Here is a 15486-nt window from a genome sequence, read left to right as displayed (position 1 = left end):
ATTGTATTTTTAGTAGAGATGGGGTGTCACTATGTTGGTCAGGCTGGTCTTGAACTCCTGACCTCAGGTGATCCTCCCTCCTTGGCCTCCAAAGTGCTGGGATTACAGGTGTGAGCCACCGTGCCTGGCTGTCATTTCCTTCTTAATGGAACCTCATTTTGTACTATGATCTGCTTTTGTGGTTTTTATTTTTATTTTTTTCAATTTCCCTTTTTTTTTTTTGAGATGGAGTCTTGCTCCGTCCCCCAGGCTGGAGTGCAGTGGCATAATCTCGGCTCACTGCAACCTCCACTTCCCGAGTAGCTGGGACTACAGTCGCACGCCACCGTACCCAGCTAATTTTTGTATTTTTAGTAGAGACAGGGTTTCCCCATGTTGGCCAGGCTGGTCTCGAACTCCTGACGTCGTGATCCTCCCACCTCAACCTCCCTAAGTGCTGGGATTACAGACATGAGCCACCGCGCCCAGCCTTCAGTCTTCTTTTTAAGATAAAAGGTGTTTTATTTTGAGACAGGTTCTTGCTCTGTTACCCAGGGTGGAGTGCATTGGCATGATCACAGCTCACTGCAACCTCTACCTCCCAGGCTCAAACCATCCTCCCACCTCAGCCTCCCTAGTAACTGGGACAACAGGTGCAAGCCACCATGCTTGGCTAGTTTTTTAATATTTTGGAGAGATGAGGTCGACCTGTTTTGCCCAGGCTGGTCTCGAACCCCTGGGCTGAAGCCATCCTCCTGCCTTGAGCTCTTAAAGTGCTGGGAATATAGGCATGAGTCAGTGCTCTCTGCTTAAGATAAAAGATGTAAGTGCTGGTAAAAAGTTTTTAACAATTCAGAAATTTCATGAAAAGTCCAGTCTTTTTCAGCTGTGAAATGATTAGGGTTGTTTGGCATGTATCTTGTCAGACCCGTTTCTGTGCATTTTTCGGACATGTTTACACACACACACGTCTGTACATACATGTCTTTTATATTTAGGGTTTAGGATTATATTCTTGTTTGTTTTTTGAGTCGGAGTTTTGCTCTTGTTACCCAGGCTGGAGTGCAATGGCACAATCTCGGCTCACCGCAGCCTCCGCCTCCTGGTTTCAAGCTATTCTCCTGCCTCAGCCTCCCGAGTAGCTGGGATTACTGGCATGTGCCCACATGCCCAGCTAATTTTGTATTTTTAGGAGAGACGGGGTTTCTCCATGTTGGTCAGGCTGGTCTCAAACCCCTGACCTCAGGTGATCTGCCCGCCTCGGCCTCCCAAAGTGCTGGGATTACAGGTGTGAGCCATCGTGCCCGGCCTGGGATTATATTTTTAAATGGAAACTACACCCTGTATGAGTGACTTTTAAGCCAGAGACTGAGGTGCATTAGTTGGTTATAATTAATATAGTTGCCTGCAATCAGCATTTGAAGAAAATGAAGTAGAATTAAAAATCAGTAGGCTGGGCCTAATGGGTTATGCTTCTAATCCCAGCACTTTGGGAGGCCTAGGCAGGAGGATTGCTTGACGTCAGGAGTTTAACATCATCTTGAGCAACATAGTAAGATGCTATCAAAAAAATAAAATAAAATAGATATGCATGGTGGCATGTGCCTGTAGTCCTAGCTACTCAAGCAGCTGAATGAGATGTGCTGTGGGAGGATCGCTTCAGCCTGGGAGGTAGATGCTGCAGTGGGTTACGATAGTACCACTGCACTCCAGCCTGGGTAACAGAATGAGACGCTGTCCTAAAACAAAAAACAAAAAAAAAACATTTAAAATGTTAAGGTTAGTATCCTTTTATGAAACTTTGTCTCAGTTGTGTTTGTGTTTATGTGTTTCGGATCTCAGTGATTTTCATTGCATGTGCTGTAGTTGAAAATGTTTGAAAGCACTGTCTTACATAGTGTTCTGTGACTTGTATTTTCATTTCACATAATACCAGTTTTTCTTTTGGTCAGTACATACATATCAATCTCATTTTGAAAAACGCTATTTAGAGCTGGATGAGGTGGCTCATGCCTGTAATGCCAGGTCTTTGGGAGGCTGAGGTGGGCGGATTACTTGGGCAATGTAGGGAGACCCTCTCTGTACTAAAAATGCAAAAAGTTAGCTGGGCTTGGTGGCATGTGCCTGTAGTCCAAGCTACTCGGGAGGCTGAGGTGGGAGAATCACCTGAGCTTTGGAAGTTGAGACTGCAGTGAGCGGTGATCATTCCGCTGCACTCCAGAGAAAAGTCTCATTCCTAAAAAAAATTATTTAGTATTCCATTAAGTACACACAATTTACACACATCATACATATACCATTATTTAACATTTCACCTATTGATGGACATTTATTTGATGATGTTGGCAAAACCCTCAGTGAACATTTTTTGTTACATAATTTTGCAGGTGTTAGTTTATTGTAGGATTGATACATCAAATTGGAATTGCAGTGTTGGAATATACGCATATTTCAGATTTTGGTTGAATTTGCTAATTTGCCTTTCAAAAATACCAGTTTGTGTTGCTCACATTATATACAATGCCCATTTTTCTGTATTTTCCATACTGGGCTTTTTTGTCTTTTCATACATGACAGTAGAAATTGGTACATTCCAGTTTGCACCTCACTGATTACTGGCAAAGGTGAATATCTTTGTTTTTTTTTTTATTTGCCATTTAAGTCAGTTCTCTGTTCATAGTGTTGGATTATTGTTTCTTTTTTTCTGCACCTACCACTAACTTGAGATTCTTGTTAATTTATATTTTATTTATTTATTTATTTAGAGACCGAGTTTCTCTCGTTGCCAGGCTGGAGTACAATGGTGTGATCTCAGCTCATGGCAACCTCCGCCTCCTGGGTTCAAGTGATTCTCCTGCCTCAGCCTCCCATGTAGCTGGGATTGCAGGCATGTGCCACTGCACCCGGCTAACTGTATTTTTTTAGTTAGAGATGGGGTTTCACCATGTTGGCCAGGCTGGTGTCGAACTCCTGACCTCAAGTGATCCACCAGCCTCGGCCTCCCAAAGTGCTGGGATTACAGGCGTGAGCCTCTGTGCCCGGCCTCTTAATTTATTTATTTATTTTTTTTTTGAGACGGAGTCTCGCTCTGTCGCCCAGGCCGGACTGCGGACTGCAGTGGTGCAATCTCGGCTCACTGCAAGCTCCGCTTCCCGGGTTCACGCCATTCTCCTGCCTCAGCCTCCCGAGTAGCTGGGACTATAGGCGCCCGCCACCGCGCCCGGCTAATTTTTTGTATTTTTAGTAGAGACGGGGTTTCACCTTGTTAGCCAGGATGGTCTCGATCTCCTGACCTCATGATCCACCCGCCTCGGCCTCCCAAAGTGCTGGGATTACAGGCGTGAGCCACCGCGCCCGGCCCTCTTAATTTATTTTTAAGGATTCTTTGTGTATTGTGGATATTAACTCTTTTTGGTTATATAATTGTTTTTTTTTTTTTAATGAAAATTCCTCATTATACCCCAGAAAGCATTTCATTTGAGCTTTTCAACTTATCCAACTTCTACCACATAAATTTTGCAAGAAATAAAAACAAAAGCTCTCATTTTGTTGTACAGTGTGATCCCTAAACATATTCAGAATATATCATCTGAAATCAAATAATGGTTTCTTCCAACCCTGTAGGAAAAAATAGCTTTGGTACGGGCAAATTAAGGAAGGCTTTTCTTTTCTTTTTTTTCTTTTGCTCAAATTCAAATTAAGGAAGGCTTTTCTTTTTTTGTTGTTAATAATTTTTGTAATTTTAATAGAGATGGGGTTTCACCATGTTGGCCAGGCTGGTCTTGGACGACTGACCTCAGGTGATCTGCCTGCCTCAGCCTCCCGGCATAAGCCACTGTGCTGGGCCACAAGTTTTATTTTTTTCCAAGATGGACTCTTGCTCTGTTGCCCAGGCTGGAGTGTAGTGGTGTGATCTCGGCTCACTGCAACCTCTGCCTCCCAGGCTCAAGCAATTCTTGTGCCTCAACCTAATTTTTGTATTTTTAGTAGAAATGGGGTTTCACCATTTTGGCCAGGCTAGTCTGGAACTCCTGACCTCGTGATCCTCCTGCCTCGGCCTTCCAAAGTACTGGGATTACAGGCATGAGCCACTGCGCCCAGCCACAAGTTTTATTTTTATGTGATCAGAATTACTTTGGCTCCTGGATCTTGTAGGTTATGATTAGCAATGTCTTCCCCCATATTCCAAGACTCTATAATTCTTTTTCTGATGCTTTTGTCTCTCATTCCACAATAATGTAATATCCTAACATTTTATTTTAATATATTCTGTTTTTCTTCAACAGTTCTCTCTCACAATAAACAAACTGCATTGTGTTGCTGTTGTATATTCCTTATACATGCCTCTCCTATAAACTAAAAGATGAATACAATCAATTAAGAATTTTACACCCCCAACCTTAGCAGCAGCATATCATGTAGGGAAATGAGAATTGTGAGTCAGCAAGCACACACACTGTTGCAATTCCCTGATGATCACATCTGCTGAAGCAGGCCCTTGGGTTTGGGAGGAACATTTCCTGAGACTTGCATATAAACACCCACGTTCCTGAACTCTGCATTTCATGGTTTAACAGGTAGACTAGCACTATAGCTTCAGGCTGTATTTTTGGGAGGCAATAGCTAAGTGGGTGTTTCTCTGCAGCTTCTTATTTTCAGTGATGGTGATTCAAACTCAAGCCTCCTGTAATGTGGGCGTTTGGGTACTTAATGAGTAGTTGTTACACAAATATTAAATGTACAGATACATAAGATATTTTTGTATGCTTCGATGTAAGAAACCAATCTTAGTATAAAAGGTTTTATACTGACCCTTGGCATGTGATTTTCTCCCGCCCCATGTGTTGAGACTAAGAAACATTCATTAACTCATGGACATAACAATTTCTTGTTTTATAGTGATATTAACATCATTAGCACTATCAATTGCACACCACTGCCTTGGTTATTTAGTAATAATAATAAACCTTTGTTCTACAGGTTTTCCTTGAAGTAATGGCTACATATAGGAAGGTTGATTGTAATACTAAGAGAGACATAGAAAAATCTTTCTGGTGCTAATAGATGCCTCAGATAAATTTAAATTCTAACAATTTTGGAATATCTCAAAAGGAAAATAACCATTTTCAATTTTTTCTTGATTTTCTTTGGAGTTTCTAAGGCCACTATTACCATTTTGCCCCCCATATAGCTTCTTTATAACTGCTACAGCTAATCATAAATATAGCACATTTTTCCTATCTTGACAAATTACCAGAACTTTATTGTATCACACAACATCACACTCAGAATGTCTCTCAAATTGTGGACCATTACTTCTTTCATTAAACATAAAAAGCCATTTGTGCATAAAACAAGGCAGATCTGGATAAAAATACCTATTTTTCCATTGCAATAGTCAGTAGTCAAGTCATTTTATGATAATCCCTTTACAGACAACTCAAACCTCACAGTACTTTTTTTTTTTTTTTTTGAGACTGCGTTTTGCTCTTCTTGCCCAGGCTGGAGTGCAATGGCATGATCTCGGCTCACTGCAACCTCCGCCTCCCGGGCTCAAGCGATTCTCCTGCTTCAGCCTTCCCGAGTAGCTGGGATTACAGGCATGTGCCACCACGACCAGCTAATTTTGTATTTTTAGTGGAGACAGGGTTTCTCCATGTTTGTCAGGCTGGTCTCGAACTCCTGACCTCAGGTGATCTGCCCTCCTCGGCTTCCCACAGTGCTAGGATTACAGGCGTGAGCCACCGCGCCCAGCCCACAGTACCTTTTTTTAATTCTTCTGTGGATTACTGAAATACAGTACAGTGATTTTAGAATGATTCATGGGTCATCGTCCAGGGATGCTGTAAAGGTGAGGGCAATACACATTTAGAGTAGAATTTTTCATCTATTTTATATATTTGAGTTTCACCTAAGTTTTTGTTTGGAGGCAAGGAGGTATTAGACTACCAGAAAATAAACAATTCTGTAGTTTGTGCTGTAAACTATTTCCTTTGATGAAGTAATATAATTTTAGTATTTCTTGGAGCTTGCGTTAATTACTAATGGTTTAGAACTTTAAAAGAAGTCTTATTCTTTGTCCCAAAGCTGTCTTTTTTTTTTTTTTTTTTTTTTTTTGAGATAAAGTTTTGCTCTTGTTGCCCAGGCTGGAGTGCAATGGCGTGATCTTGGCTCACCGCAACCTCCACCTCCCGGGTTCAAGCGATTCTCCTGCCTCAGCCTCCCGAGTAGCTGGGTTACAGGCATGTGCCACCACACCCAGCTAATTTTTGTATTTTTAGTAGAGACAGGGTTTCTCCATGTTGGTCAGGCTGGTCTTGAACTCCTAACTTTAGGTGATCCACCCGCCTCGACCTCCCAAAGTGCTGGGATTACAGGCGTGAGGCACCGTGCCCGGCCCTGTTGTCTTATTTTTAATGAGGTTGGACAGTCAGTAATTTGTTCAGTAGTCATCCTTACTGATTTATATTGTGTGGGTTGTCTTGGTATAAACTTTCTGTTCTTTTTTGATTGTGATCTCAAAGCAGTTCCCATACAATATTTTTGACCTGCAAGTATTATATCTTTGAAGTGATTTTCCTGGTAAACGGTATTTGTTTCAAGATGCAGTTGATATGTTAAAAAGAACTTCAGAAGCCATGCATGGTGATGCATGCCTGTAGTTCCAGCTACTCAGAGGCTAAGGTGGGAGGATTACTTTCGCCCAGGACTCAGCCTGGGTAACATAATGAGATCCTGTCTCTCTCTCTCTTTTTTTAATGGAACTTTAAATCTTATCAATTGCCAATAATTTTGGGGAAATATGGTGGGAAATTGAATGGAATTTTTTTTAATAATGCCAATAACTTGTATTCACCATATTCTTCCCCGTTTTACACTTCTAAAATCACCACCGGCAACAAGGTCCCTAAGCAAAATTCAACAATACCAGTTTCTACAATGGGTTTTCCTCTGGTGAAAATGAGTTCTTAGTCCAACCACTCTGGTTCGTGCTGAAATTTGAGTCTGTTTAGTAACCTCACCAGAAGACGTTGAGCTTTTTGTAAAACAAGTTTGTCTAGATAAACCAGTTTTCATGAGATGGTATAATTGAAAGTGTTGTGTTAGTGAAAGACGATATGTTGGATTTAGTTTTCCTATAGTTGTCTGTAAGAAAGATGACATGATTGTGTTAGTTGAGTATTTTGATTTGCAAGTATTGAATTTTAAGAATAATTAATTTTTAAAAATTCTTTGGAAACCTGTTTTATTATAGGTGGCAGGCAGTTAAGAGCCCTGGTTGTCAAATACACCTAGGTTTGAACCCCATTTCTATCATTTATAACATTGTGACATCGTGCTAATTACTAAACCCTAAGTTTTCTCCTCTGTTAAAAGGGAATAATAGTTTCTACACCAGACATTTTGATGAGCATGTAGTATGTTCCCGATGTCTTCTAAATGCTTTATGAATGTTTATCCATTTTAATTTTAGGATTACTATCTAAGCTATGTGTTACTTCATGTTATAATTGAGGAAACTGAAGCACAGAGAGATTTAAGTATTTTACCTATGATGTGTATAATGTACTGAGCGCAGTACTTGACCTGCAGTAACACTTACCGTATTCACCCCTTTGTTGAAATGAGTGGTCACTATGAAGTTTCCAAATGTATTATATTTTTAAGTAACTGACCTCTGGCACAACATTGAAAGGATCTTCTGTGGTGCTTTTTTCTTTCCTCTTGTCTCCGTAGCTCTTGGTGCTGGACAGGCATCTTTGTTTGGGAACAACCAACCTAAGATTGGAGGGCCTCTTGGTACAGGAGCCTTTGGGGCCCCTGGATTTAATACTACGACAGCCACTTTGGGCTTTGGAGCCCCCCAGGCCCCAGTAGGTAAGTGTCAGTCACTTTAGAAGGCTTTTCTTAATTTTTTGCTAATACTTGCTGACCTGATTTTCCATCCTACACCTGTCCCATTCCTACCAAGGCATTGCATACATGCATGTCATTAAACAATTGGGTAGTAAAGAAGGGCTTATTAATAGATCCTGGCCTACTCTGCTTTCCCAGCTCCTAGGCCTCCTCTGTCAAAGAAACCACTTTTGTTACTATTTTTAATTCATCTGATATATAATTTAGTTCATATCGCTAAATGTGCTTATATTACTGTGTTTTGGTTTATTAAATCTAAGTAAATGTAACCTGTTATGGTAGATGAGAATTTAGCTCATGTATCACCTCTACTTTATTTACTTCTTCCAATATAATTATGTTTACTAAATTTACTGTATTTCCTAAATTTAGTTTTATCTATTGAAGTGTTTTTCTTTATTTTATTTTTTTGAAAAGGAGTCTCGCGCTGTTGCCCAAGCTGGAGTGCAGTGATGTGATCTCAGCTCACTGCAACCTCCACCTCCTGGGTTCAAGTGATTCTTCTGCCTCAGCTTCCTGAGTAGCTGGGATTACAGGTGCATGCCACCACACCCAGCTAATTTTTTTTTTTGGTATCTTGAGCAGAGACAGGGTTTCACCATGTTCGCCAGGCTGATCTCGAATTCCTGACCTCGTGATCCGCCCACCTCGGCCTCCCAAAGTGCAAGGATTACAGGTGTAAGCCACCACGCACAGCCTGAGGTGTTTTTCATACTTCATTCATTTGAATACCACCTTCCAGACTTTGCCAGGGTCCACCTACCACTTTATTATGTATTTTGAACTTAAGGAAATTAACTTACTTTTTTTTTTTTTTTTTTTTGAGATGGAGTTTCACTCTGTTGCCCAGGCTGGAGTACAGTGGTGCGATCTTGGCTTACTGCAAGCTCTACCTCCCAGATTCACGCCATTCTCCCGCCTCAGCCTCTTGAGTAGCTGGGACTACAGGTGCCCGCCACCATGCCCAGCTAATTTTTTTGTATTTTCAGTAGAGACGGGGTTTCACCATGTTAGCCAGGATGGTCTCGATCTCCTGACCTCGTGATCCGCCCGCCTCGGCCTCCCAAAGTGCTGGGATTAGAGGCGTGAGCCACCACGCCAGGCCGAAATTAACTTACTTTTTAATTTAAATAGCTTTTTAAAGAAAATTATGGGCTGGACCTGGTGGCCCACGCCTATAATCCCAGTACTTTGGGAGGCCGAGGCGGGTGGATCACGAGGTCAGGAGTTTGAGACCAGCCTGGCCAACACGGTGAAACCCCATCTCTATTAAAAATGCAAAAATTAGCTGGGCATGATGGCATGTGCATGTAATCCTAGGTACTCAGGAGGCTGAGGCAGGAGAATCGCTTGGACCCGGTAGGTGGAGGTTACAGTGAGCCGAGATCGCGCCACTACATTCCAACCTGGGTGACAGAGTGGGAGTCCGTCTCAACAAAAAAAAGAAAAAAGTAAAAGAAAAGAAAATTATATTCCACAGGAAGTGAAAAACGGGTTATCACCTGGCATAAACAGAGTAACTGAGATAAATAGAATGAATAGTCAGATCTTTCTGTACCACTAAATTAATCTCCCATACTATCATGATACATGTGTCAGGTTTTGAGAAACCTTTGCAAATTTAAGCTGCGTACTTACATATTTTTCTTATTCTGTCAACAAGGTGATAATATTTCTTGAGTCTTCTTTGTCAGATGAGGATATTAGTACCTTTCCCTATGTTTTTATTACCCTTATTTCTTTTCTCATCTTTTTTTTTTTTTTTTTTTTGGAGACAGAGTCTTGCTCTATCTCCTAGGCTGGAGTGCAGTGATGTAATCTCGGCTCACTGCAACCTCTGCCTCCCAGGTTCAAGCAATTCTGCTGCCTCAGCTTCCTGAGTAGCTGGGATTACAGGTGCCTGCCACCACGCATATAATTTTTGTAATTTTAGTACAGATGGGGTTTTACCATGTTGGCCAGGCTGGTCTCGAACTCCTGACCTCAGGTGATCCATCTACCTTGGCCTCCCAAAGTTCTGAGATTACAGGTGTGAGCCACCGCACCTGGCCCCATCTTTATTTTTATATTGATAAAATTGATAATATTTTCTGTCCTGTAACTGTTACTGTCTTCTGTCTTCTGTTCTTTGAAGAATAATTTAATAGTTGCAAATGAACTGTTGCAAATGATTCTGTTACAACTTACGAAAGTAGTGCTGCCCAGATTTTTTCCCCTTGGAGTTTCTGATTCCTATTTTCCCTGGTATTACCACCGCTTACTGACTTCCATAGAACTGTTCCAAATTCTGAAGGATGGTATCAGAACATTTCATTTACCCCAGTTACTTCATTCTCTGCTACCTCTGTCCTCCTGCAGCAGTGTGGACTCTGATTATTCTCTAGGCCTTCAGCATTGCTTCAAGATATTCTCGTCAAGTCTGCTCAGTGAGAACTGCTATGTCCTGCATATAGGGTTTTTCTCTTTATTTATTTTCTGAATTTTCTGGAATGTGTCTTCAAGTGAAGTGTAATATGAAGGCTAACCTTTGACTACTTAGAGGTCTGAAAATACCTTCATTCATTCCACACAATTTAATATTAGGGACTTGTGTGAAAATAATTTATTCTCAGAACATCGACTGTCTTCCTTCTTGCAGTAACCATTACTGATGGTCTAATGCTCTTGTGCTTCTTGTGACCTGTGCCCTCTATCCTCAAAAGCATTTAGGATTGTCCTTTTGTCCTGACATTTTACTACATTTTGCTTAGATCCTTTCTATCTTAACAGTTGTGTCTTTGACCTGTGTTTCTGCTTTCTGGGAGATTTTTTTGTTGTCTTCTCAGTCTTTTTGGATTTCCTTTTTTTTTGAGACGGAGTTTCGCACTGTCACCCAAGCTGGAGTGCAGTGGCGCGATCTCGGCTCACTTCTATATCCGCCTCCTGGATTGAAGCGATTCTCCTTCCTCAGTCTCATAAATAGCTGGGATTACAGGTGCCTGCCACACGCCCAGCTAATTTTTGTAGTTTAAGTAGAGATGGGGTTTCACCATGTTGGCCAGGCTGGTCTCGAACTCCTGACCTCAGGTGATCCACCTGCCTCAGCCTCCCAAAGTGCTGGGATTACAGGCATGAGCCACCGCTCCTGCCAGATTTTTGTTTTTAATTTGGAAGAATTCATTCTTGTTCTCTGAAAGTTTTTTTTTAACCACAACACCTGTTTCTTAGATACAGTTTTTTTGCTTAAAACTCAGTTGGGATAAAATTTTTTTAGCGTTCTTCTGTTCCTTGGATTTTCAGGATGATTTTTGTTTTGATAGTACTTTAGTGCTTGGTGGTCCTTTTCATTCCCATTTAAGATTAAAAATAGGCTGGGCATGGTGGCTCATGACTGTAATCCCAGCACTTTGGGAGGCTGAGGCAGGCGGATTGCTTGAGGTCAAGCGTTCGAGACCAGCCTGGCCAACATGGCAAAACCCCATGATGTCTACCACAAATAGAAAAACTAGCCAGGTATGGTGGCACATGCCTGTAATCCCAGCTACTCTGGAGGCTGAGGCGGGAGAATCGCTTGAACCTGGGAGGCGGAAGTTGCACCGAGCCGACGTCACGCCGCTACACTCCAGCCTGGGCGAAAGTGCGAGACTCTGTCTCCAAAAAAAAAAATATATATATATATATTTATATTTAAAAGCTCACTGGCAACTCTTTGTACGTGAGTAGGGCTTGTTTCCCAGTATGTTTTACTTTAGAGTAAGTAATCTAGAAACCGGCTATTATCAGAGGGTCCTCTAAATGTTAGAATGTCAGATTCTTAGCTCTGGGATGATTGCAGTAACCACAGTAGTTGCCCTTCTCCTTTTTATGTGTTTACTTAGAGAAAGGCATACTTTGACCTGTGTATTGAGCATCAGTGATTAGGAGAATGGCAATATGTAGTTTTCTATATAAACTTCATTTCTTTTTTTTTTTTTGAGACAGAGTCTTGCTCTCTCCCCAAGACTGGAGTGTAGTGGTGTGATCTTGATCTTGGCTCACTGCAACCTTCGCCTCCCAGGTTCAAGTGATTCTCTTTCCTCAGCCTCTTGAGTAGCTGGGATTGCAGGCCCATGTCACCACGCCCGGCTAATTTTTGTATTTTTAGTAGGTATTGGGTTTCACCATATTGGCTAGGCTGGTCACGAACTCCTGACCTCAAGCAATCCTCTCGCTTCGGCCTCCCAAAGTGCTGGGGTTACAGGTGTGAGCCACCGCGCCTGGCTTAGACTTTCCATTAATTCTTTCCTCTTCCTGTTTTCAATTCTACTTCATCAAACCTGGTATTCTGAAGTCCCTAGACTTCTGGGATTCTCCAAGGTAGATACGCGTCATTTGATCATACTAGTAGACCCTTGGACAACATGAGGGTTAGGGGTGCTGACCCCCACACAGTTGATAATTTGCAAATAATCTTTGATTCCCAAGCTTTACTGACAACATAAACAGTACAAATTACGTATATTATATGTAGTACGTACTATATTCTTACTATAAAGTAAGCTAAAGAAAAGAATGTATTATTAGGAAAATCATAAGGTGGAGGAAGGTGTTGGTCTTGCTCTCTCAGGGGTGGCAGAGGAGGAAATCCACACATAAGTGGATCCACACAGTTCAAACTTGTGTTGTTCAAAGGTCAGCTGTAACTGCTTTTGAGTGTACTCTAAGCTATAGTTTTCTGTATCCTGCTTGATCAGTCCTCTGTCCACATCTTTCCCCTAGAAATTTGTTAGATTTTCTCATGTGTTCATTTGCCACCTTCCCATTGTTTGTCATTGTGGGTTTATATATATAAATGTTAATATTTTTTAGCCAAAGATTTAATAAGGTCTTGGAGAGAGCGGAGGTGAATTCGAGTTTTCATTGATCTCTGTGCGGATTTTATACTTAGCTTTATCATTAAAAATAGGCCTGGTGCGGTGCCTCACGCCTGTAATCTCAGCACTTTGGGAGGCCGAGGCGGGTGGATCACCTGAGGTCAGGAGTTCGACCATCCTGGCCAACATGGTGAAACCCCGTCTCTACTAAAAATACAAAAATTAGCCGGGCGTGGCGGCAGGCACCTGTAATCCCACCTACTCGCAAGGCCGAGGCAGGAGGATTGCCTAGTCTGGGAGGCAGAGGTTGCAGTGAGCCGAGATCGCGCTACTGCGCTCCAGCCTGAGTGACACAGCAAGACTCTGTCTCAAAAAAAAAATTGTTTTAATTTTATTTTTTTCTCATTTTTTATTGGTTTTAGTAGAAGGTGGTAGCATAAATTATTGTAATATGCCATTTTTACTTGTATAGCTTTTTGACTGGTTTTTAATAATCCATCTCTTTTTCCAAAGTTCCTGACACAAGAATTTAGTTAATATTAAATTTGTGTGCCTTAACATTACTGCCCATTTAAAGGTAATTGTATTTACTTTTAGAATGTACATCTTTATACCACGGAATCTTAGTTGAAGGTACTTTAGAACTATGTGAGTGTGCCTTGTCTTAAAAAAACCTCAGGTATGGTGGCTTCCTTACAGGCAGTACAGTCTGTTCTTCTGTTCTGGTTGTGTGGAAACCAAATCCTTCCTCCATAGAGTTTCCACCCAGTGGTTCTACTTTTATTTCCTAAAGCTAAGCAAAACCAGTCTAGTATGTATGGTTTCTTTTCTTTCTTTCCTTTTTTTTTTTTTTTTTTTTTTGAGAGGAGTCTTACTCTGTCACCCAGGCTGGAGTGCTGTGGCACCATCTTGGCTCACTGCAGCCTCTGCCTCTGGGTTCAGACAATTCTCCTGTCTCAGCCTCCTGCGTAGCTGGGACTACAGGTATGTGTCACCATGCCCGGCTAATTCTTGTATTTTTTAGTAGAGATAGAGGTTCACCATTTTGGCCAGGCTATTCTTGAAGTCCTGACCTGAAGTAATCTGCTTGCTCAGCTTCCCAAAGTGCTGGGATTACTGGCATGAGCCACCATGCCTTGCTGTAGTATATTTGTGGTAACCCACTGACTTTCTTCTGGATAAAGTATCATCAGATTCTTGTGTTTCATCAGAAGACTTGGTTTTTGTACTTTTCCCTATCCCTTTAATCATTTGGTTATGATTTAGTTTTTTGGAATCTTTTATTTTGAAATTTCTTTGGAATTTGTTCTTTGGAAAGTTTTCAAATTATTTTGACCAAGATTGAATGTAATACCAGTAGTTGCTTAACTAGTGCTTGTTTGTTTTCTTGTTTTTGCTAATCTATCAAGATACTCTCTTACCTGTGTCTTTAAATACTACAGTTAACACAAAGTTTATATTTATTCATACAGATATAAAATCATGCTCATGCACTTTCTTGTGTTTGGATTTGTGAAAGGAAGTCTTTGGTTTTTTTTTTTTTTTTTTTTGAGAACGCCCAGGTAGAATGATTTGTACTTGTTAAACGATGGGATCAACTAAGACAGGTCAGTTTTCTAAATGAGTAATTGCCTGTCCAGTAACAAAATGACCAGTGAGGTTTGGAGTTCTCTAAAGTTTTTCTTGAGTCTCCTTGCATAGTCCCCAAAATAGCAGTATGCTGTTAATCTGTAGTACTGTGTACCAAAAAAAAAAAAACTTTTCTTTATTTTTTGCTCTTAAATTGGATTTAGGAACTTTCTGAATACAGATGATTTACTCTGTGCTCTTAAAATTGACATCTCTTGGTTTGAGATCCTGAGCAAACTTGTCCTGTCTAGTTAAATATCAACATGAATGTACGGTGTTTTAGTATTTATTGAATACATCGATTTTAAGAAACCTTTGACTCTTCTTTTTCATTAATTTAGCTATAGCAGCCTGTTCTGTTTTTGTTTGTTTGTTTGTTTTTGAGACGGAATCTCGCTCTGTCGCCTAGGCTAGAGTGAAGTGGCACGACCTTGGCTCACTGCCAGCTCTGTATCCTGGGTTCACGCCATTCTCCTGCCTCAGCCTCCGGAGTAGCTGGGACTACAGGTGCCCACCACCATGCCTGGCTAATTTTTTCTATTTTGTTAGTAGAGACAGGGTTTCACCATGTTAGCCAGGATAGTCTCGATCTCCTGACCTTGTGATCCGCCTGCCTCGGCCTCCCAAAGTGCTGGGATTACAGGCATGAGCCACCACGCCCAGCCTCTTTTTTTTTTTTTTTTTTTTGTTATTACTGCTTTTGTTCTCCACCCACTCCCCACAACATTGTGAGACTTTTCAGAAAGTTTTATGTCACTCCTTTACTGTGGATTATTGTATTATATTTTGGCAGTAACTTTATTTGTAAATGTTTATAAGGGAAAAAGGTAGTATTTTTGTCTGTAAAATGACTTTATTATGTTTTGGGTTTTGATCAGTATTTTTGGAAAGAGATTTTATCTTGCAAAGAGGTTTCTTCTTCAGTCAGGGTATACTGTAGTGGTTTTGCTTTTTTCTTAATGTTTTACTTGGTACAATGGTAGATCATGAATAGTCTTCATTGTTACTTATGTCTGTTCCCTAAATTCTCTGCAATTGATAACAGATGTTCTTACACTTTGAGAAAAAATTAGGCTTAGTGATTTCTTTTTTCTTTCAGTTTATATTATGTGAATGTTAAATAAATGTA

General features: G+C 40.9%; 1 protein-coding gene across 12 annotated transcripts in view, besides 8 other annotated features; it reads left to right on the top strand.

Annotated features, from left to right (window-relative positions):
* Nucleotides 1-8521: part of a mitotic recombination region, noted in NCBI's record as "NUP98 (NSD3) recombination sub-region within the nucleoporin 98kDa recombination region recombines with the NUP98-NSD3 recombination region", that runs on past the window's edge. NCBI's record gives the evidence for it as "EXISTENCE:nucleotide sequencing assay evidence [ECO:0000219][PMID:11986249]" and "EXISTENCE:Southern hybridization evidence [ECO:0000078][PMID:19380029]".
* The window catches only part of NUP98 (nucleoporin 98 and 96 precursor), a 122545-nt gene that overhangs the window by 45189 nt on the left and 61870 nt on the right, over nucleotides 1-15486 (top strand). For 11 of the 12 annotated variants that reach the window (NR_157591.1, NR_157590.2, NR_157589.2 and 8 more), the window contains exon 12: nucleotides 7717-7857. The exons of the other annotated variant lie outside the window; for it this stretch is intronic. Coding sequence is in view for 8 of the 11 variants with exons in the window: in NM_001365128.2 (NP_001352057.1) it covers nucleotides 7717-7857 (141 nt within the window). In the remaining 3 variants the exon portion in view is untranslated. The remainder of the gene's footprint in view (nucleotides 1-7716; nucleotides 7858-15486) is intronic. 12 annotated transcript variants of the gene reach the window in all.
* Nucleotides 1-15486: part of a biological region, named in NCBI's record as "nucleoporin 98kDa recombination region", that runs on past both edges of the window. NCBI's record gives its function as "recombination_partner: LOC106865368 | LOC106992256 | LOC107105350 | LOC107126281 | LOC107126288 | LOC107126359 | LOC107133509 | LOC107133517 | LOC107133518 | LOC107195252 | LOC107197952".
* Nucleotides 6920-7120: a silencer, noted in NCBI's record as "peak1179 fragment used in MPRA reporter construct". NCBI's record gives its function as "represses an SCP1 promoter by STARR-seq MPRAs in K562 erythroleukemia cells {active_cell/tissue: K562}" and the evidence as "EXISTENCE:reporter gene assay evidence [ECO:0000049][PMID:32103011]".
* Nucleotides 7858-9945: a mitotic recombination region, noted in NCBI's record as "NUP98 intron 12 (HOXA9 and DDX10) recombination sub-region within the nucleoporin 98kDa recombination region recombines with the NUP98-HOXA9 and NUP98-DDX10 recombination regions". NCBI's record gives the evidence for it as "EXISTENCE:Southern hybridization evidence [ECO:0000078][PMID:8563753]".
* Nucleotides 7858-12512: a mitotic recombination region, noted in NCBI's record as "NUP98 intron 12 (HOXC11 intron) recombination sub-region within the nucleoporin 98kDa recombination region recombines with the HOXC11 intron 1 recombination sub-region within the NUP98-HOXC11 recombination region". NCBI's record gives the evidence for it as "EXISTENCE:Southern hybridization evidence [ECO:0000078][PMID:12970787]".
* Nucleotides 8186-12512: a mitotic recombination region, noted in NCBI's record as "NUP98 intron 12 (HOXC11 exon) recombination sub-region within the nucleoporin 98kDa recombination region recombines with the HOXC11 exon 1 recombination sub-region within the NUP98-HOXC11 recombination region". NCBI's record gives the evidence for it as "EXISTENCE:nucleotide sequencing assay evidence [ECO:0000219][PMID:12183408]".
* Nucleotides 8517-11054: a mitotic recombination region, noted in NCBI's record as "NUP98 intron 12 (HOXA11 intron) recombination sub-region within the nucleoporin 98kDa recombination region recombines with the NUP98-HOXA11 recombination region". NCBI's record gives the evidence for it as "EXISTENCE:Southern hybridization evidence [ECO:0000078][PMID:11830496]".
* Nucleotides 10667-10718: a mitotic recombination region, noted in NCBI's record as "NUP98 intron 12 (HOXD13) recombination sub-region within the nucleoporin 98kDa recombination region recombines with the NUP98-HOXD13 recombination region". NCBI's record gives the evidence for it as "EXISTENCE:nucleotide sequencing assay evidence [ECO:0000219][PMID:10995009]".

The sequence above is a fragment of the Homo sapiens genome, chromosome 11 (genome assembly GCF_000001405.40).
Source record: "Homo sapiens chromosome 11, GRCh38.p14 Primary Assembly".
NCBI lineage: Eukaryota > Metazoa > Chordata > Mammalia > Primates > Hominidae > Homo > Homo sapiens.
The sequence above is the reverse complement of the archived record's forward strand: the minus strand, read 5'-3'. Positions and strand labels throughout refer to the sequence as shown.